The sequence below is a fragment of the Homo sapiens genome, chromosome 3, assembly GCF_000001405.40.
Source record: "Homo sapiens chromosome 3, GRCh38.p14 Primary Assembly".
NCBI lineage: Eukaryota > Metazoa > Chordata > Mammalia > Primates > Hominidae > Homo > Homo sapiens.
Genome location: NC_000003.12, coordinates 195,587,681 through 195,608,727, shown reverse-complemented (window position 1 = coordinate 195,608,727; position 21,047 = coordinate 195,587,681). Strand labels below are relative to the sequence as shown.

The 21,047-nt window shown below is 44.8% G+C and overlaps 3 annotated features.

Moving 5' to 3' along the window:
* Window positions 7,828–7,997: an enhancer, noted in NCBI's record as "experimental_67532 CRE fragment used in MPRA reporter constructs". NCBI's record gives its function as "activates a minimal promoter by MPRAs in K562 erythroleukemia cells, with activity observed for the non-introgressed 3:195327687 variant allele {active_cell/tissue: K562}" and the evidence as "EXISTENCE:reporter gene assay evidence [ECO:0000049][PMID:34662402]".
* Window positions 11,783–11,952: an enhancer, noted in NCBI's record as "experimental_67528 CRE fragment used in MPRA reporter constructs". NCBI's record gives its function as "activates a minimal promoter by MPRAs in K562 erythroleukemia cells, with activity observed for both the introgressed and non-introgressed 3:195323732 or rs7653544 variant alleles {active_cell/tissue: K562}" and the evidence as "EXISTENCE:reporter gene assay evidence [ECO:0000049][PMID:34662402]".
* Window position 11,867: a transcriptional cis regulatory region, noted in NCBI's record as "Neanderthal adaptively introgressed variant 3:195323732 (GRCh37/hg19 assembly coordinates) or rs7653544 in the experimental_67528 CRE". NCBI's record gives its function as "modulates activity of the experimental_67528 enhancer by MPRAs in K562 erythroleukemia cells {active_cell/tissue: K562}" and the evidence as "EXISTENCE:reporter gene assay evidence [ECO:0000049][PMID:34662402]".

Here is a 21,047-nt window from a genome sequence, read left to right as displayed (position 1 = left end):
AGGTTGAGGCTGCATGCCTGTGGCACAGCCTCAGGAGGTCCTGACGACATGTGCCCAAGGTGGTCAGGGCACAGCTTGGTTTTATACATTTTAGGGAGACATGAGACATCAATCAATATATGTAAGATGAACATTGGTTCCATCCAGAAAAGCAGGACAACTCAAGCAAAGAGGGAGCTTCCAGGTCACAGGTAGGTGAGAGTCAAATGGTTGCATTCTTTTGAGTTTCTGATTAGCCTTTCCAAAGGAGGCAATTAGATACGCATTTATCTCAGTGAATGGAGGGATGACTGCATAGAATGGGAGGCAGGTTTGCCCTAAGCCACTCCCAGCTTGACTTTTCCGTTTAGCTTAGTGATTTTGGGGGCCCCAAGATTTCTTTTCCTTTCACATTTCCCCCTAGGAATCTAATATCTTACAGGATTAACTAGGTCAGTAAAAGACATAGTTTATAATTTGACTTTGGAAAGTTTGTCAAATATCAAAGGTTTAAAACACTTGATATCACAAAATAGGATCACAGGTTATTGTAAATAAATCATTCATTTAACCAGAGTGATAACTCAAGAACTTCAAAAAAAGGTGAAAACCTTCATTCTTTGAGAGGAGACTTAATTTTCCAAACAATAAGCCCTAATAAAAACAGCATGAAGCCAATCAAATTTGACTTCCAAAATTTCATGAACAATCTATAAAGTTTTAATCTTGACCATAAGCTGTAACTTCCATAGGCCTTTTATAACCTTTATAGCCTTTATTTGGGAGTCAGTTAATGCTTCAAGAAAATGTTAATCTGACACAGGCACCCATATGCTGGTCTTGCCTTAGTGTGCCTTTGACATTAATGGTTAATTTATAGAGAAACTGAGCTTATTTTATCACTCGACATTGGCCCTTACAATCTCACACACACCTCTTCTCTGATAGTCCCTGGCCTTTGAGGAATTGAACAGCTTTAATTTCTGGCCCTGTGTTTGCAAAATAAAATGCAAATAAATGCAGTTTATTTTGATTGGCTTCTTTTACTGAGCCTGAAGATGAGGCTTTAATTACTGCCAGTATTTAAGAGTTAGCAGGACTTCATGTCCTTTTCAGACCCAGGACTCAAAGCCCTGTACTCTATATCACAAGGACTTTAAAAGCACATATAAAAAGATACATGGATGTAATAACCTTAATTTAAAAAAAAAGTTTTAATCTCAGTTATTTTCTAAGCAAACCAAAACTTAACAATAATGGCATAGGGATTATTTTGATAAAAGACAAAATCTGTTAAGCCAGTTACCAAAAGACAAAAGAAGAGACCTTCTGCAGTGCACAGAATATTATGTTGGAAGAAAACATTTCCTTTAGACTTTTAAGAAAACATTGTTAGCATCAGGCCACAACAGAAAGAAGTTGAGGGAAAAAAAACTTATATGAGCCGAAAATGAGTTGAAGGAGAGCGTTACTATTTCATGCCTTTTCAAAGGGGAGTGAAAACTGAAAACGGCAAGATGCAATAAAAGTTGAACTTTGGTTTTAAAAAAATTAAAATCTCCTATAATTTACTAAGAGTAAATCAATCCCTTAAGAAAATTTTATTGCTCTAATCAACTATTTAGTGTGTAAGTGTATTTTTTACATCAAAGCCAATCTCTATAACATTGTAATTTCTCTGTAGTTATAGACAACTCGATCATATAAAAGTTTTGTTGGCCAGGCACAGTGGCTCATGCCTGTAATCCCAGCACTTTGGGAGGCCAAGGTGGGCGGATCACGAGGTTAGGAGATTGAGACCATCCTGGCTCACACGGTGAAACCCCGTCTCTACAGAAAATACAAAAAATTAGCCGGGCATGGTGGTGGGCACCTATAGTCCAAGCTACTCAGGAGGCTGAGGCAGGAGAATGGCGTGAACCCGGGAGGCAGAGCTTGCAGTGAGCCAAGATCGCGCCACTGCACTCCAGCCTGGGCGACAGAGCGAGACTCTGTCTCAAAAAAAGTTTTGGTTTGTTTTAAATAAATCCTCTTACTGTGACTTACACAGACCATTAATGACATGCTTGGACTTTCTGTTTTTTCCTGAACATCCTTCTTTCTGAAACAACCAGTCATTTTATTCTAGGACTAAATTTACCATACAAGATTCTTTCTCATATAAAATTATTTCTCTTTAAGCTTTCTTACAAAAAAAATACCTCCTTATTTCTATAACTTTCTTTACATCTCTCTTATTTCCCAGTTCCTTTTATCTTGTTTTATACATAATCTTTAAATGAACTTTGAATTAGACAAAAATTGTTCACCTTTTTACAAAGGCCATTTTTTTTAGAAAGAATGTTTTCCTACAATTTTTTTTTTTGGAAAAACCCAAATAATGAAATATCTATTATTTAATTTAACTTTAGATTCTAAATTATCACAAGTTTGTCTATAGGTATTTATCCCATGACATTTACCTAATTATTTTATTTTAATCATTTACCTAGATTATTTATGAAAACTGTGATAGTCATCATTTAAAGTTACAAAACTCGTCATTGCAAGATTCTAACTAAGACAACAAAAAAGATTTGCTCTAACTGACTCCATCGTGCTTCTAACCTCCAAGCTGTCCTTGTTCATTCCGGGACTTTTGGAGGAACTTAGTTTATAGTTTACTTTGAAACAAAGTTGATAACTGTCCTTTCCCAAAGCAAATTTCCTTACTGCCTGTGGACAAGACTGCCTAAAGCCATGAGATTAGAAGTTACCATAATTTTACTAAATAATTCAAGAAGTAGCTATCTTCATTAAACCAATATCAATGTCTTACTTATTTAAAAGTGACACAAGCAAAGATCATTCTGTTTTGAGCTGGGTTTATAGTTTTGTAACCCCCTATGCCAAATTTTGACACCTTATAGCATTTGGCAGGGATAAGTTTGAAATTGCTTGATCAATAAATGCAAACAAAACTGTATGCTGGCAATTCTTAAGACATTTTTAATATTACTTTACCAATACTTTTAAAGCTAGCTTATTTATTAAAGATTTTACTTAAGTCACAGAAACTAGAAAAAGCATTTAACTAGTCTTTCCTTTTTTTTGATAAAATACTTGGTTTAAGTGCTTTTATTTTTCTTTAAGCCAATTGATTAGAGCTCTTTTATATATTTTTAGTAGTGAAACATTGTGTACACAACACATAAATACATAGATTTATTAAGCATACCAATAGAAGCACATATTATAGATCCCTAAAACCTACCTTTTTTCCTATCATAGACTTGCAAACTCTTGATAACCTATTTCAGCTAATTAGCCCTAAATTTGCAATTGAAGGAAACAACTCTTGGGTGAAAAATCAGATAGCAAAATTTACTTCTCAAAGTAGAGAGAGAGAAAGCCTGGTATTGCTGGAGGGATATTCAAGATGGATGCCAAATCAAACATAAAATTATGCAAATCTATCATAGAATTGTATGAGGAGACCAATTTTATTTAGATAGGGACTACTTATCTTTTAACTGGATCTCTGAGCCCTGGGCAGAGCACACACTGAACCCTGGGTTTCCAAAAAGGCAGAATTATTATGAGGCTAGACCACATGACACTTTTACAGTGCACTTAAAAAAATTTTTTTTGGCCAGGACTGGTGGCCCATGCCTGTAATCCCAACACTTTGGGAGGCTGAGGAGGGTAGATCACCTGAGGTCAGAAGTTCAAGACCAGCCTGGTCAACATGGTGAAACCACATCTCTACTAAATATACAAAAATTAGCTGGGTGTGGTGGTGGGCACCTGTAATCCCAGCTACTTGGGAGGCTGAGGCCGGAGAATTGCTTGAATCCAGGAGGCAGAGGTTGCAGTGAGCCGAGATCGTGCCATTGTGCTCCAGCCTGGGTAACAAGTGCAAAACTTCATCTCTTTTTCTAAACACATTTCATAGTGTCTAAACTACACTCTTCCTTAAAAACCCGAGAGCAGCCTATGTTGCAGTAACTATTTTTGTCAATAAATCAGGTAACAGTACAAAGGCAAGCAGTTTAAGAGCTGAGATGAACTTGTCTGTTTACACTCTTGTGGTTCCATAAGGAAAAACAAGTTTGTGCCCCAAAGGGAGTCTTGTGCTTTCTCCATTTTCTTTAAGGAACCCCAGGCTATTATAAACTATTTTAGGTCCGTCATGCAGTAGCGTGTGCAAGAGAAAGGAGAGACAGGAGAAGTAAATGAAGAAAACAGAATTCAGTCAACTGAGAAGAAAAACATTTTTGCTCAAAAAAAGAGACAAGGTCCTAGGAGAAAGAAAAAACAACAACAACATGAAGGCCTTTTAAATAAACACACACACACACACAAACACACATACATCTTGGATGCTGGCTTTTAATTAAGCTGACTTTTAACCATTGAGCTCCTTTTAAAACATCTTTTAAAATCTATTACCATATTTCAGCTAGAAAAAAAAAATGCTGTTCTTTCAGAAGTGACAAGTACCAAAGCAGAAAGGGCTTGATTTAGGAACCAAACCCAGGCTGTTGTGATAGAGAAAAAGAAGGTAGAACCTTTTGCTATGGAACTGCAGTGCAGGGCAACAGCCATTGCTCTTTCAGCTTGGCCTGGCTAGCAAAAAGGGGCTTCATTATGTAAATAAAGCCCCTTGAGTAGTCAAAAATCTTTCCTGTTTTTATTTTTGGTTTTTGTTTTTTTCCTTTTTCTGGCTATTTTTCTCCCCACGTCGCACCACCTTTTTTCTTTTTTTTTTTGAGATGGAGTCTCGCTCTGTCACCCAGGCTGGAGTGCAGTGGCGTGATCTCGGCTCACTGTAAGCTCAGCCTCCCAGGTTCATGCCATTCTCCCGCCTCAGCCTCCTGAGTAGCTAGGACTACAGGTGCCTGCCACCACGCCTGGCTAATTTTTTTTCGTATTTTTAGTAGAGATGGGGTTTCACCATGTTAGCCAGGATGGTCTCCATCTCCTGACCTCGTGATCTGCCCACCTTAGCCTCCCAAAGTGCTGGGATTACAGGCATGAACCACTGTGCCTGGCCTTTCTTTTTTTTTTTTTTTCTTGTGGGAATTTAGCCACTTCAGAGGCCTTGTTCCCCATAATTTGGAACTTTCCTTCAGATTTGACCAAGTCAGATAGAGTTGATCAAACCCAATGGGGAAAAGACCAAAACAACAACAAAAACAGAAACAAACAAAACAACAACAGAAAAACCAGTTAAGCAAAACAAATGATGGCACAACTTATATGATCACTGAGTGCTCTAATGGTAAGGAGAAATTAAGACCAGCTGGTTGTTAATCTTAACTTTAGCCAAGACAAACCCCAATTCAGTTACTTACCTAGGGATGGGACTCAGGCTGAAGACTGCTCTCCATCCTAGAAGCAGGAGAAATCTGAAATTTGTTTTCCCTGTTGGAAGCGAGTTCAAACTCCATAAAGGAGTTACCTGCCTTCCATCTTCATAGAAGCAGGAAAAACTTACCTTCCTTGTGTTGGAAGCAAGTAAAACTCCAAAAAAAAAAAAAAAAAAAGGACTTGTACAGCAAAATAAACTTTAGATCATGACTGAATTTTGGGAAATCAGGAATTCTCTGGAGAGGGTCCTTCCAGGCCTCAGCAAATTGTCCTGTTGATTTGAGCCATAAAGATAGCTCAAGCTGGTACCAAGCACCAGTTGGAGATTTGGCAAAGGTCAGAAGCACCTCCACTCAGAATCCCTCTGTGGTTACCAAAATGTGAACTCCAAATATCTGAGACAGGTCTCAGTTAATTTAGAAAGTTTATTTTGCAAAGGTTGAGGCCACAGGCCACACACTCGTAACACAGCCTCAGGAGGTCCTGACAACACATGCCCAAGGTGGTCAGGGCATAGCTTGGTTTTATGCATTCGAGAGAGACATGAGACATCAGTCAATATATGTAAGATGCACATCAGTTCCATTCAGAAAGGTGGGACAACTCAAGTGGGGAGGGGGCTTCCAGGTCACAGGTGGGTGAGAGACAAATGGTTACATTCTGTTGAGTTTCTGATGAGCCTCTCCAAAGGAGGCAATCAGATATGCATTTATCTCAGTGAGCAGAGGGGTGACTTTGAATAGAACGGGAGGCAGGTTTGCCTTAAGCCGTTCCCAGCTTGACTTTTCCCTTTAGCTTCATGATTCTGGGGCCCCAAGATTTATTTTCCTTTCACAATACAGATAAGGGTCTTTCCTTTTCTTCCACACTCTTTTAAGAAGCACTAAATTCAAGGCCAAACCAAAAAGGTACAATCTCACAAAACTAACATTTCTTTTCCTTAATTATTTTCCCTCCTTATTAGTAGTCTTTTTTACACCTCTGCCAATAATTAGGGCTGGAGGAAACTTATAAAATTTAGTTCACCAAAGTCTAGAATGATCTCAATCTTCCATAACCACTATGATAATTAATTTTATGTGTGAACTTGTATCAGAGGTGTTTAAACCAGAGCGACTCCATCTAGAATAAGCGCTGAGTAAAACAAGGCTGAGACCTACTGGGCTGCATTCCCAGGAGGTTAAGCATTCTAAGTCACATCATGAGATAGGAGGTCAGCACAGATACAGGTCACAAAGACCTTGCTGATAAAACAGATTGTGGTAAAGAAGCCGACAAAACCAAGATGGCTACAAATATGACCTCTGGTCATCCTCACTGCTCATTGTATGCTAATTACAATGCATTAGCATGCTAAAAGACACTCCCACAGGCACCATGACAGTTTACAAATGCCATGGCAATGTCAGGAAGTTACCCTATATGGTCTAAAAAGGAGAGAAACCCTCAGTTCTGGGAATTGCCCACCCCTTTCCCAGAAAACTCGTGAATAATCCACCCCTTGTTTAGCATATAATCAAGAAATAATCATAAAAATAGCCAACCAGCAGGCCTTGGGGCCACTCTGTCTATGGGATAGCCATTCTTTATGCCTTTACTTTCTTAGTAAGGTTGCTTTTACTTTACTCTATGGATTCACCTTGAATTCTTTCTTGCATGAGATCCAAGAGCCCTTTCTTGGGGTCTGGATCGGGACCCCTTTCCAGTAACACTTGGGCTAGGAAATGCCCAGATTGCTGCTAAGAATTTATTTCTGGGCGTGTCTGTGAGGGTGTTTCTGGAAAAGATTTGCATTTGAATCATTTGATTGAGTAAAGAAAATCACCCTTACCAATGTAGACAGGCATCACCCAATCCATGGAGGGCCCAAAGGAGCAAAAGGGTGGAGGAAGGATGAATTCTGCCTCTCCTCTTGAGCTGGGATGCCCATCTTCCCCTGCCCTTCAACATCAGAGCTCCTGGTTCTTGGGCCTTTAGGCCTGGAATGAATTACAGCACTGGTTTTCCTGGTTCTCCATCGTGTCCTTTTGAGTTTTGGTCACAGCATCACCAGAAGATGAGGACATTCACCTCTGATCTCCTCCTTTCTAGTTTTTTTTTTTGTTTTGTTTTGTTTTGTTTTTTTTGATACAGAGTCTCACTCTGTTACCCAGGCTGGAGTGCAGTGGTGGGATCTCAGCTTGCTGCAACTTCCGCCTCCTGGGTTCAAGTGATTCTCCTGCCTCGGCCTCCCAAGTAGCTGGGATTACAGGCATGGACCACTACACCCAGCTAATTTTGCATTTTTAGTAGAGACAGGGTTTCACCATGTTGGCCAGGCTGGTCTCAAACTCCTGACCTCAGGTGATCCACCCGCCTCGGCCTCCCAAAGTGTTGGAATTACAGGCGTGAGCCACCGTGCTCAGGCTGATCTCCTCCTTTCTATGCACCTGTATTAGTAACTGGTGGTTCTGCCTGAGGGACAGATGGATCCAAGGGTTCCGTGATAGATCCATGGTTCCTCTGTTTTGCTTTATTCTCAAAAAGGCTCTTACCTGAAATGTGGTCCCTGGAAGTTCTGGGTGGACAAGGTCCTTCATGGTAGTGACTGAAGGAAGAAAAAGAGAGTATTCCCTGAAAGATTCAGCAAACATCTGAGGGAAGATTGACCACTCTGGATGCAGGGTCCTGCCTGAGGGATTGCTCTAAGGGTCCAGGCTGGGTAATGCACCTGCCCCCTGCAGTGGTGGTAGAGGATAAAGCCAGCCAGTCTCATCCAACCATATGGACTGGGCAGATTACTATAAAATAGAGAATGTAAATCTTCCCAAAGGAAGGGAATGTGGAATCAACAAGAGGCAAGGTCGCTCCCTCTCTCTCTCCCTCTTCCTCTCCCTCTCCCTCTTCCTCTCCCTCTCCCCAAGGTCTCCCTCTCCCTCTCCCTCTCCCTCTCCCTCTCTTTCCACGGTCTCCCTCTAATGCCAAGCCGAAGCTGGACTGTACTGCTGCCATCTCGGCTCACTGCAACCTCCCTGCCTGATTCTCCCGCCTCAGCTTGCCGAGTGACTGCGATTGCAGGCGCGCGCCGCCACGCCTGAGTGGTTTTCGTATTTTTTTGGTGGAGACGGGGTTTCGCTGTGTTAGCCGGGCTGGACTCCAGCTCCTAACCACGAGTGATCTGCCAGCCTCGGCCTCCCGAGGTGCCGGGATTGCAGATGGAGTCTCGCTCAGTCAGTGCTCAATGTTGCCCAGGCTGAAGTGCAGTGGCGTGATCTCGGCTCGCTACAACCTCCACCTCCCAGCCGCCTGCCTTGGCCTCCTAAAGTGCCGAGACTGCAGCCTCTGCCCGGCCGCCACCCCGTCTGGGAAGTGAGGAGCGTCTCTGCCTGGATGCCCATTGTCTGGGATGTGAGGAGCCCCTCTGCCCGGCTGCCCAGTCTGGGAAGTGAGGAGCGCCTCTTCCCGGCCGCCCATCGTCTGAGATGTGGGGAGCGCCTCTGCCCCGCCGCCCCATCTGGGATGTGAGGAGCGCCTCTGCCCGGCCACGACCCCGTCTGGGAGGTGAGGAGCGTCTCTGCCCAGCCGCCCCATCTGAGAAGTGAGGAGCCCCTCCGCCCGGCAGCCGCCCCGTCTGGGAAGTGAGGAGCGTCTCCGCCCGGCAGCCGCCCCGTCCGGGAGGGAGGTGGGGGGCGCCTCCGCCCGGCTGCCCTGTCTGGGAAGTGAGGAGCCCCTCTGCCAGGCCGCCACCCCGTCTGGGAGGTGTACCTAACAGCTCACTGAGAACAGGCCATGATGATGATGGCGGTTTTGTGGAATAGAAAAGGGGGAAATGTGGTGAAAAGATAGAGAAATCAGACTGTTGCTGTGTCTGTGTAGAAAGAGGTAGACATAGGAGACTCCATTTTGTTCTGTACTAAGAAAGATTCTTCTGCCTTGGGATGCTGTTGATCTATGACCTTGCCCCCAACCCTGTGCTCTCTGAAACATGTGCTGTGTCCACTCAGGGTTAAATGGATTAAGGTCGGTGCAAGATGTGCTTTGTTAAACAGATGCTTGAAGGCAGCATGCTCGTTAAGAGTCATCACCACTCCCTAATCTCAAGTACCCAGGGACACAAACACTGCGGAAGGCCGCAGGGTCCTCTGTCTAGGAAAACCAGAGACCTTTGTTCACTTGTTTATCTGCTGACCTTCCCTCCATTATTGTCCTATGACCCTGCCAAATCCCCCTCTGCGAGAAACACCCAAGAATGATCAATAAAAAACAAACAAACAAACAAACAAACAAAAAAGATTATGATCCCACTATTTGCAAAAAAATAAAATAAAATAAAATAAAAATACAAAATTAAAAAAAAAAAAAGAGGCAAGGTCACTTTTGTCCCCAAGTTATAACTCTGGTCTTCCTCTGCTTCTCCTCTTTTCTCAGGACTCTTTCTTATCTCATCCCCAAGTTCAGCTTGTTCAGCCCTGCAAGGGCTGATGGGTGGGGGTCAGGTGTGGGGCAGGATCACTGCCCTCCTCCATTATTTTCACCCAGGCAAAAATGGGTGAAATGAGCCTCAAGGGCCGTGTCAGAGAGAGGTGTGAGGGGTGGAGACAGAGGGAGAGTCAGGAATGGACCCTCACTGCACTAGAAGCATGTGGAGGAGAGAGGACCAGCCTCCTTCTGAGGGAAGAATAATAGGAGCACTGTATGTGTGTGCCTGAGTTCCAGGTCTGGTTGGTACTGCATGAGAGAGTCATCTCGTTTTCCCACAAAAATAGCTTCAAAATCATCCAGACCCTTCTTTCTTCCCTCTTGATATTGGTCTCAGACCTGTCACTAAAATCCTAAGGCTGGCTCTGATCCCACCATGAGAAGCTTTCAGAAAAGGGTGCTTTTCTCCCGGAGCTCAAGGGCTTCAGCTCTTGGCTAATCAGTACCACACCCCCAAACACACACACACACACACACACACACACACACACACACACACACACAGAGAGTAATTAGTTATGGAATTTGGTGGAAGAATCAATCAGACCATTTGGATCATGGAATAAACTATTCTATGGACGCATGGAATGTTCCATGGAATAATGTCCTAGTTATTTTGTGCTATAGGGAGACAGACATTTATATCCAACAAATGTCCTCTAGATTGAGTGTTGAACAATCTTGTATGGATAAGACTGAGAACAACACACGGAGGAAATTCTTCTGGTTTCAAGACAAACTCCACGAAGACCAGATGCACTTGGAGTTTGAGTCCGTCTCTTCTGCTCTGTGGTAGGTTACTCCAGTTCCTCTGCAAAATCGTTTGGAATTTGTAAAACCTCCAAATCCTCCCTCGGGGGTCTGTGCCTCTTGGCTTCCTTACAGCTCCTTTGTGACCGTAAGATAGGTTTAATAATCACACTCTAGGTTGCACAACTATTATTATTCCCATCAGAGACACATAGTGCAGAAAAATAGAATCTGTGTTTTGCATTTCCTGTTTCAGATAAGCAGTTTCATCTAAGGAAAATAGCAGATGCTATTTACCCAGGAGTGTGGTCTTCCCCTGGTACTGAGGCTGGGGGCCTGCAGCAGTTTCAAAATAGAAGCATCTTCCCCAACTGCACTCTGCACGTGGCCTCCTTCCTCATGCCATGCTCTGTCTCTCTGGCTCTGCTTCCCAATGGTGAGTGCATATGCGGAAAAGAAATGGGGACCCAGTGAGTCTTGGTGCTTCCAGGAGGCCCTCAGGCCCTGGTGAGAGCTGATGGTTTGGAAGATGGAAAGCAGCCAGTGGACATCAAACATTTAAAGATTCAAGCAGAGTTATTAGGGGTCCAAGGGTTTGAATTGTTCCCAGGCTAATATGACCCTCCCCTAACTTTCCATGCTGACTCCATCTCTTCTTCGACCTTGCTAGGGACCTGTCTTTTCCTGTTCTTGGTACTGCAATACAGTTACAGGATGTGAAAGTAGCGAGAAAGAGATAAAGCTTGGATCCTGGCAAAGGGGATGCATTGCCAAGGCCAGAGGCAAGTTGATGACTTAAGCTGGGCCTAGAACCCTCATGTCTTGGCTCACAGACCTGTGCTCTTTCCATAAGCCCTGACTTGAAGAGGATTCCTTAACTGAACTGTTATGAGATTCTCACAGATTCAGTCTCTTGGTGTGGATAATAATGACCTATCAAGATACCAAAAGTGAAATAAGACAAAATAGGATCTATCTTAGTTGGTTATAACATTGTCAAGAGAAGCCTGCAAACTGCCTCATTCCCAAGAGTCTCAGAGGATCTGGGTAGGGTCTTGCAACATAGAGGGTGAGTTTAGTCTGTGAGTTCTTCCTTCCCCTGCTGTCCACCCAGTGACATTCACAGCATGGTTTGTCCCTAATAGTGTTTAGCTCTGGATCTGTATTAAATCACAGATGCTTAGAAACATAAAGGGCCTTAAAGAGCGTGTAGTCTATCCAACTCTCTACGTGCAAGTGAGATCATATATGTTAGAAGTAGACACAGATCTCAGGCAGCCTCCTGACAGTGAAACCTACAGCTGTGTCCATGGATCCCAGTGAGACCGGGAGATTTGGCAGTTGTCCAGTTGGTTGATATAGTTAGAAGTTGAGCTGTAAAATTTTTTTGTTTTTTTTTGAGATGGAGTCTTGCTGTGTTGCCAGGCTGGAGTGCAGTGGCACGATCTCAGCTCACTGCAACCTCTGACTCCGGGGTTCAAGAGATTCCCCTGCCTCAGCCTCCTGAGTAGCTGGGACTTCAGGCATGTGCCACCACGACTGGCTAATTTTTTGTATTTTAGTAGAGACGGAGTTTCACCATGTTGGCCAGGATGGTCTCAATCTCCTGACCTCGTGATCCGCCTGCCTCAGCCTTCCAAAGTGCTGGGATTACAGGTGTGAGCCACCACGCCCGGCCAGAAGTTGAGCTATATAATTTCAGCTGGAATGTTCACTATGCCACGTGAATTAGTCTACTTGCCAGTCTACATGGCAGGGTTCCATTAGTAGAAGTGGAAAGCACCCTCTGCTCCTCCGATTTCCAAATCTAAAGCCTGTGGCCCTCTCTCTGTTCTGCAGGATGTCCTAATGTGGTCATTTATCCCCTGGGCCTCTTCCTAGTCCCACGCTGTCCCTGGACCAGAGATGTGTTTCCTCCCAGCCCATCACAAATGCTTTGGGGGGCCTGGGACAGTGACCTGGGCTGGGCTGACCCTACCACTCCATCTGCATCTGCTCACAGGGACAGTGCTTCCTTTGTACCGTTGTTTGGGTGGTTTTTTTTTTTTAATTTTTGGTTGGGTTTGTTTATTTTTTACTTTTCCTTCTCCTCCTTTTCAAACCAAGTCCCTCAGAGCCTCAGCTGAAGCCAGCCCACCCAAGCGCATCCCTGCAACAGAACTTGTAATAATTCCCTAAGCAGTCCATGGACATCTTCCCAAACAGCCCTCCTACAGCAGAGGGTTCTGGGAAACCTAGTCACTTCCGCTCACATGGAGGCACCTGCCTCTGGGGACTTCCACAGCCCTGATCCTTGGATAGGAGAATGAAGACACAGGCCTGGGGGGGTGTTGGGGAGTGGGTTATGTTGATACCTAAATCTTCAGGCCACTCATCAGCTGGGTCCTTCTGAGTGAGTTAGGGTAACTTTCAAGAAAGTGAAATTCTCAGCCTGGAATTTATGACAACATGACCATCTCAGACCAAATTACGGAGAAAAATGTCAAAGTGTGTGTTCACTCCTTAGGGCTGTGAAAGGCCCAGGAGCCATTCTTCAGATGAGCCTCTTGGCCCTTAAAATCGTAAGCCTTCTATTTATGATCGAACTTTTCCTATTTGAAGCACATTCACTGAGCCAAATCTTTCTGTCACATATTTTGCTTTTAAAAGTTGAGTTTGTTTGATTTCCTAAATTTTTGTTATTTCTAACTATATCAAAGCAGCCCAGTTCAAAGAAACAGAATGTACCAGGGAAGCAGACATTTGATCATTAAAGGCAAAATGAATCTAAGTCACGTCTACTTGAGTTCTCATGACACCAAAAACAGAAAGATCCCTGTCCTACCTTAAGTCCATAGGCTTTTTGTCCTGGAGACCAGGGTCCCTCTGTGGTCTCAAGGTACCCAGGGTGCTATGCTGCATGGCTGAGCTGGGCACCTAAGACGCCAAGAGTCCCTAACCTTGCCCTTCTCTTGAGTGGAGGTGGCCAAAGGAGGGGGGTACATAAGAGACCACTTACTGCCCCTGGATGGGCAGAACAGAGTTGCCCAGGCCCTGTCAGGACAGGATGCAGAATTCCTGACTCTTGGGGAGTTTGTCTAGTTAATGACCATGTCCAGCTTCTGGTATAAAGACTACTTGGCAATCCCCTGCTCCCAGAGAAAGAGGGATCATTACTGAGGCTACAGGCAGGAGACTGGAGCAACTATTCAGAGGGAAAAGGAGCTAGAATAGCAAACTCCACAAGGACAAGGTATTATTTTGTACCCCACATCTTCTGGGTATCTAGAAAAATGCCTGGTCCTCAGGAAGTACTCAGTAAATGTTAAACTAATAAAACATTACTTTCTGAGAACATGTCAAAGATTTAGGCCTGGGGTTGGGAGACACAGAAAGAAGTATCCAGAGAATCTCAGTCAGTCTCAAAATTATGGCTCGACAGAGAAATTCCCTTCAATCCAAACCCAGGTCCTAATGCGGCTCCCTTGAAGGCTGTGACATGTGTGGTGAGCTTAGTGGATCTCATACCTCCTCATGTCAAATTAGATGGTAGCCTGAGCTCATGCATTGCCACTGAGGCAGGAGAGAGGGGACAGAGTAGAAATATTGGAGTCTGAATGGACAGGATGTGGAAACTCACAGTATGTGGGTACTGAAGGAAGTGAATTAGAGATGGGCATAATAGAGGGCGACCCTCTTCCCAGGGTTGCTGTAAGGAGTAGTAAATGAACACACAGTGCTTCATGCCATACGGTAGGTTCTTTTTTTGGGGGTGGGGGGCAACGGCATCTTACTCTGTCACCCAGGCTGGAGTGCAATAGCGCAGTCTCGGCTCACTGCAACCTCCACCTCCCGGGTCCAAGTGATTCTCCTATCTCAGCCTCCCAAGTAGCTGAGATTACAGGCGCCCACCACCAAGCCTGGCTAATTTTTGTATTTTTTAGTAGAGACGGGGTTTCACCATGTTGGCCAGGATGGTCTCCATCTGACCTTGTGATCCGCCTGCCTTGGCCTCCCAAAGTGCTGGGATTACAGGCGTGAGCCACCGCGCCCGGCCTGTAAGTTCTTTTTTTTTTTGAGATGGAGTCTTGCTTTGTCGCCCAGGCTGGAGTGCAGTGGTGTGATCTCCGCTCACTGCAACCTCCACCTCCTGGGTTCAAGCAATTCTCCTGCCCCAGTCTCCCGAGTAGCAGGGTTTACAGGCATGCACCACCATGCCTGGCTAATTTTTTTTTTTTTTTTTTGTGACAGAGTCTCACTCTGTCGCCAGGCTGGAGTGCAGTGGTGCAATCTCGGCTCACTGCAAACTCCGCATTCTGGGTTCAAGAGATTCTCCTGCCTCAGCCTCCCAAGTAACTGGGATTACAGGCATGTGCCACCATGCCTGGCTAATTTTTGTATTTTTAGTAGAGACAGGGTTTCACTATATTGGCCAGGCTGGTCTTGAACTCCTGACCTCGTGATCCGCCCACCTCGGCCTCCCAAAGTGCTGGGATTACAGATGTAAGCCATCATGCCCGGCCCTAGAATCAGTACTGTTAAGAGAATTAATTGAGAGGCCACTAGGCTGAGATGGCTCCAGGGCCTTGAGTTCCTATGTAACCAACTGAAACCCAACTCAGAAGGAATGGTTTTAACCTAGGAAAACAAAATTTAAGATTAACCAATTAGGAACCACAAACTAACCTCTAACGAGGGACTTTGCACATTAACCAATCAAATATTTTCTTTGTCTTGCTTCCATGAGCACCTTATAAAAGATTTTCCCTTGCACCCCTTTGCTGGAGCCCTGAACCACTTGTTGTGTTATTGTTCGATTCATGAATCACTGTCTGCTCAAGTAAACTCTTTAAAATGTTCATGTGCCTAAGTTTATCATTTAATGTTAAGTATTTGTAGCCAGAGTAAAGGACCACTGGTCTGAGGAGGGGTCACTAACACAAGTGTGGAAAAGAAAAGCACAAAGATTACTATTAATATCTCACTCAACCAATAATTCTGGAAATGGGCTCTCAGTCCCTAGACAAGGTCTATGGGATCCAGGGGTGCACTGCTCTATTCTAGAATACGTAGTGGGTCCACTGTATTTCTTAGCCCCCCTCCAAATCTGGAAAGCAGTGAAATCTGTGGTTCTTAGTCACCTCCTCTTCCTTGTACCCACCCACTTGCCCCTCTAAGAGATGTAGCCCGTGAAAAACCCTTGCCATTCTTAATGGAGGGCGCTGTGATTCTCAAACCTGGTAATACTCTTTACATAGCCCTGATGAGGAGCCACTGGTAAATACTAATTCCAGAAAACTTAAAAGAAGCCTTCCAGGCCACACACAAACTCTAGACACAGTACAATACCACTTTTGACAAAGTAGATCGTGAATACATACAGACATACATACATAAAACATGGTCATTTTCTTACAGACTTCAGTGAAGACATAGAAATCCTGTTCTTCACATTTGGACATGGCTCAGTCCAAGAGGGAGAGGGATTGCTGACACTGGGCTGAGAGGCTGGCCAGTAGCTCCCATTCACAGACAGTGCGTGCAGAAGAGCTTTGTCAGTGTCTAACAAACCAAGAAACACATCTTTTGGAGCCAGACAGATCCAGGTGTGAATCTCGGTTAGGCCACTCACTATGCCATGTGGAGCAAGCTCGTTGACCTCTGTGAGCCTGTTATCTCCCCCAGAAGATGGCTATCATCATACGTACCTTACATGGTTTCTACTGGTACAAGAGAGAAACACACATAAACTGCCTAGCACAATGAGTGTCCACATCTGATACTGGCTGATCACTCAGTGATACCTCTCTGAACCAGAACTTATCCTAACGTCACACTTTTTGATCAGAAACCGTGTTGTAGGAGTGGAAATGACGTGAGAGACAGGAGGATGGTCCAGGTCACAGTTCCTCTCCTGCTCCCATCCTCTCCCTCCCTCCTTCTCCTTTCTCTCTCGAGGCAGCACATGGCTTCCAAGACATCTCAGGCTGCAGCCTGCTCCTGCCTCTCAGGAGTGGTCCCCAACTCCACTTATGAGTGTGTGGATGTGACAGCCCTGCTACCCAGATGATGACAGCATGTGAGGCCCAAGAGCCTGGGTGTCTCCCTCCAGGGGCCTGGGCCCCAGCCCACTTGCGATGGTTCCATTGCCTCTTGTTTATTGACCCCTCTGACCCAGCATTGAGAAACTTCCCTTAATTCCTCCACACCCAGATGGACTTGGTTAAGAGAATCCCAATCCCAGAAGGGACACTAATGGAAATGACAGAATGTTGAGTCAAGCTGGGACCCCACAGATCTTCTGGCAGCATTTCAACCCTTTCTGTGCCGTGTGCCCCTTTGACAGCTTGGCAAAAAAATATCCATAAATACATAAAATAAAAGACATGAGATCACAAAGGAATTCAATTATCTTGAAAAACAATTCTACCCAACTTCCTATGGACATCCATGGATTTCAGATGATCAACACCTGACAGCCAAACCTCTTGCTGAAAACTTAGGAAACTCTCCAAGGTCACTCAGCGAAGAAGTGAGAGGCCTTGGACAGGAACCCCATCTCCTTATTCCTGCACCTGTGCTTTTGTGTTTTTTACTAATTTAATATTTCAGGAAACTAAGAAAAACAAAACAGAAATCTTGCTGCCTCTGCTTTGAAAACTGAATTTCATCCATGTGGGAAGGTGTGGAGGAAACCCTGCTGGCCCTCAGAGTATTCATAAGAACTGACCTTGCTTTATCCAGGATTGCAACACCAGGCAAATATTATTTCTCGGTAAACATCTGGAAAAGCTTAGGGTCACAGTAAATTGGTGGAGGATTTGGCCAGGGCACTGGTGACTGGTTGAGACGCCCAACTCCTAAACGTGGTGGGCAGCACTGTTGGATTGTGGACTGAGTAGATGGGTCAATTCCTCTGCTTTCAGGAGGTCAGGGTCAGGGAGTCTGGAACACTGGCCTCTGAGCCTGCTACCGACGTCTCGGCCCTCAACTCTTGTTAGGAATTAGTGAGCAGTTGGTGCCCCCTTGTTCTGCTGGGAAGACTGGCAGGTATTTAACCTGAGAGCATTAACCCCTGGCCCATCTCCCAGCTGAGCCCTTTCACTCCTTTCTCTCCCTGCTGGGGTAAGAGAATGTAATGGATAAAAGCATGAGTTTGGTCAGGGTTTAAATTCTCACTTCATCGCTTCAGAAAAGTTGCATGGCCATCTCCCCCTCCCCTCTGTTTGTTTGTTTGTTTTTTGAACTGGAGTCTCACTCTGTCACTCAGGCTGGAGTACAGTGGCACCATCTCGGCTCACTGCAACCTCCGCCTCCCGGGTTCAAGTGATTCTCCTGCCTCAGCCTCCCGAGGAGCTGGGATTACAGGCGCCCGCCACCACCCCCTGCTAATTTTTGTATTTTTAGTAGAGACGGAGTTTCATCATGTTGGCCAGGCTGGTCTGGAACTCCTGACCTCAAGTGATCCACCTGCCTCCGCCTCCCAAAGTGCTGGGATTATAGGCGTGAGCCACTGCACCTGGCCCTCTCTGTGTTTTTATCCCTCTAATGGGAATAGTAGTCATGCCTGCCTTTTAGGGTGTAGCAACAATTAGAGCTAAGGTACAGAAAGCACCTACACAGGACCTGATGTGTTGCATTCTGCATTCTGTGGTTAGGAGTCATTATTCTAATAAGCTCTGGGTTGCACCTTCCACACTGTTGTGGGAAGTCAGGGACCCTGAATGGAGGGACCAGCTGGAGCTGCAGCAGAGGAACATAAATTGTGAAGATTTCATGGACATTTATCAGTTCCCAAATAATACTTTTCTAATTTCTTATGCCTGTCTTTACTTTAATCTCTTAATCCTGTTATCTTCATAAGCTGAGGATATACGTCACCTCAGGACCACTGTGATAATTGTGTTAACTGTACAAATTGATTGTAAAACATGTGTGTTTGAAAAATATGAAATCAGTGCACCTTGAAAAAGAACAGAATAACAGTGATTTTTAGGGAACAAGGGAAGACAACCATAAGGTCTGACTGCCTGCGGGGTTGGGCAAAAAGAGCCACATTTTTCGTCTTGCAGAGAGCCTATAAATGGACGTGCAAGTAAGAAAGATATCGCTGAATTCTTTTCCTAGCAAGGAATATTAATATTAATACCCTGGGAAAGGAATGCATTCCTGGGGGGAGATCTATAAACAGCCGCTATGGGAATGTCTGTCTTATGCGGTTGAGATAAGGACTGAGATATGCCCTGGTCTCCTGCAGTACCCTCAGGCTTATTAGGGTGGGGAAAAGCTCTGCCTTGGTAAATTTGTGGTCAGACTGGTTCTCTGCTCTTGAACCCTGTTTTCTGTTGTTTAAGATGTTTATCAAGACAATATGTGCACTGCTGAACATAGACCCTTATCTGTGGTTCTGCTTTTGCCCTTTGTCCTGTTCCCTCAGAGGCATGTGATCTTTGTTAGACCCTTATTAGTAGTTCTGCTTTTTGCCTTTTGAAGCATGTGATCTTTGTACCTACTCCCTGCTTTACATCCCCTCCCCTTTTGAAACCCTTAATAAAAAACTTGCTGGTTTGAGGCTCGGGTGGGCATCACGTTCCTACTGATATGTGATGTCACCCCCAGCAGCCCAGCTGTAAAATTCCTCTCTTTGTACTCTTTCTCTTTATTTCTCAGCTGGCTGACACTTATGGAAAATAGAAAGAACCTGCATTGAAATATTGGGGGCGGGTTCCCCCGATACCACACTGTGTCCCTTACAAATAAAGCAGGTGCTAAGGCAGGTGTTGTTAGCCAAGTGGATGTGTTCAGAAAAGACCCTCCACCATCATCAGAGCAGACCTATTTCTCCCACACATCTCAGCAAAGTACATGACTTGACCACAGTCACACAAAGAGAAAATCCTGTCTCAGCTTCTTCCTGATCTACACAGCTCCTTCATCTGGGTGTTTACTCTCTGCCTTCCTCTTGTTTCTACAGACACAGAACCTTCCTTTCTCTCCAAAGCCAGCACCTCCACCTGCACTCTGGATCCCTCCCCTCTCTCCTGCAGATTTTTCCTCTACTAGATCGTCCCTCTGTGCATGCTCTAAGCATCTCCCTTAACCTGCAGGTCTCTGTTCAACTACTATTTCTCTACTTTCCTTCACAGGTAAAGAGCATTGCTGCCTCCTCTTTCCCTCCTCAACCCACTCCAACTGGACTTCTGCCCTCCCTGCTCCCCCTGCCTCTTTTCTTGGCTCCTTCTTCTCTGCTCAGTCTCTGAAGGTTAGAGGGTACCAGGGATCTGTCCTGGGCATCCTTTTTTTCCATTTCTAAATGTCCTCCCTTAGTGTTCCCATCCAGTCTCATGGCTTTGAAGACCATGTATGTTCTGATGACTTCCCAATCTCTATCTCCAGCCCTGATTTTCCCCCAAACTTCACTTGAATATCTAATTGCTTTCTTAACATTTTCACTTAGATGTCTGATGGGGCAACTCAAACATAGCTTATCCATAAAGAACTTGAGTTCTTCTCCCAGACTCACCCTCCAGGCTTCCCATCTGTAGCAGCTGGCAGGTGCGTTCACCTGATTTTTCAACCTTTACATCTAAGAGCCAGTCTCGATTCCCGGCTTTCCTCATCTTCCACCTGCGGCCCATCAGCAAGTCTTGTCCACTTTATCTCCAAAGCACATTCCAAATTTGCCCACTTCTCTCCATCTGTATGCTAATCACTCTAGCCCAAACCACCATCAAACTATTTCCCAAATGACCACAGGGGCTCCTCAGCTGATCCATCTGTAACCATTTTATTCTCCATTCTTGATAGTCAAGCCCAAATAACCATGTCATGCTCTTGCCTAAAACCTTCCCATGACTCCTACTGTACTTGAAATAAAATTCAAGGTCCTCAAAGCAAGATAGATTCTGGTTTCTGTCTACCTCTCCACACTCACTTCCTCCTCACCTCTGCTCCAGCCAAACTGGTCTCTCCATTTCTTAAAAACTTAATGTCTGTTCCCACCTTAGGACCCCTGCACTGGCAGTTCTTCCTGGAACACTCTTCCTTTGGTGTTTGAATGACTGGTTCCCATTCATCACTCACATCTCAGCTGAAATGTCAGTATTCAAAGAGACTCTTCCTGACCACCAGACCGAAGTGGGCACCCTTCACTTCCTATCACGTCATCCTATTCTCTTTTCTAACCTCCCAGAGGAGAGTCACACAGATAGACAGGAAAAATAGGTACTCTCCCTCCTCAACCCACTCTAATTAGGTATTTTTCCTGTCTGTCTGTCTATCTCGCCTCTGGGAGGTAAGTCCCACAAGGGCTGAGACATTGTCTTTCTTCTTTACCACTATATCTGCAGGACTCAGAACAGTGCCCCGCACCCCCGTGTGTGTGTGTGTGTGTGTGTGTGTGTGTGTGTGTGTGTATACATACAGCAACGTAGTGTTGCTATATGTTGTTGAATGCGTGAATGAATGGATAAATAAATTAGTAACAGAGCTAGGACCAGAACCCAGGCCTCCTGCCCCCAGTCCAGTGT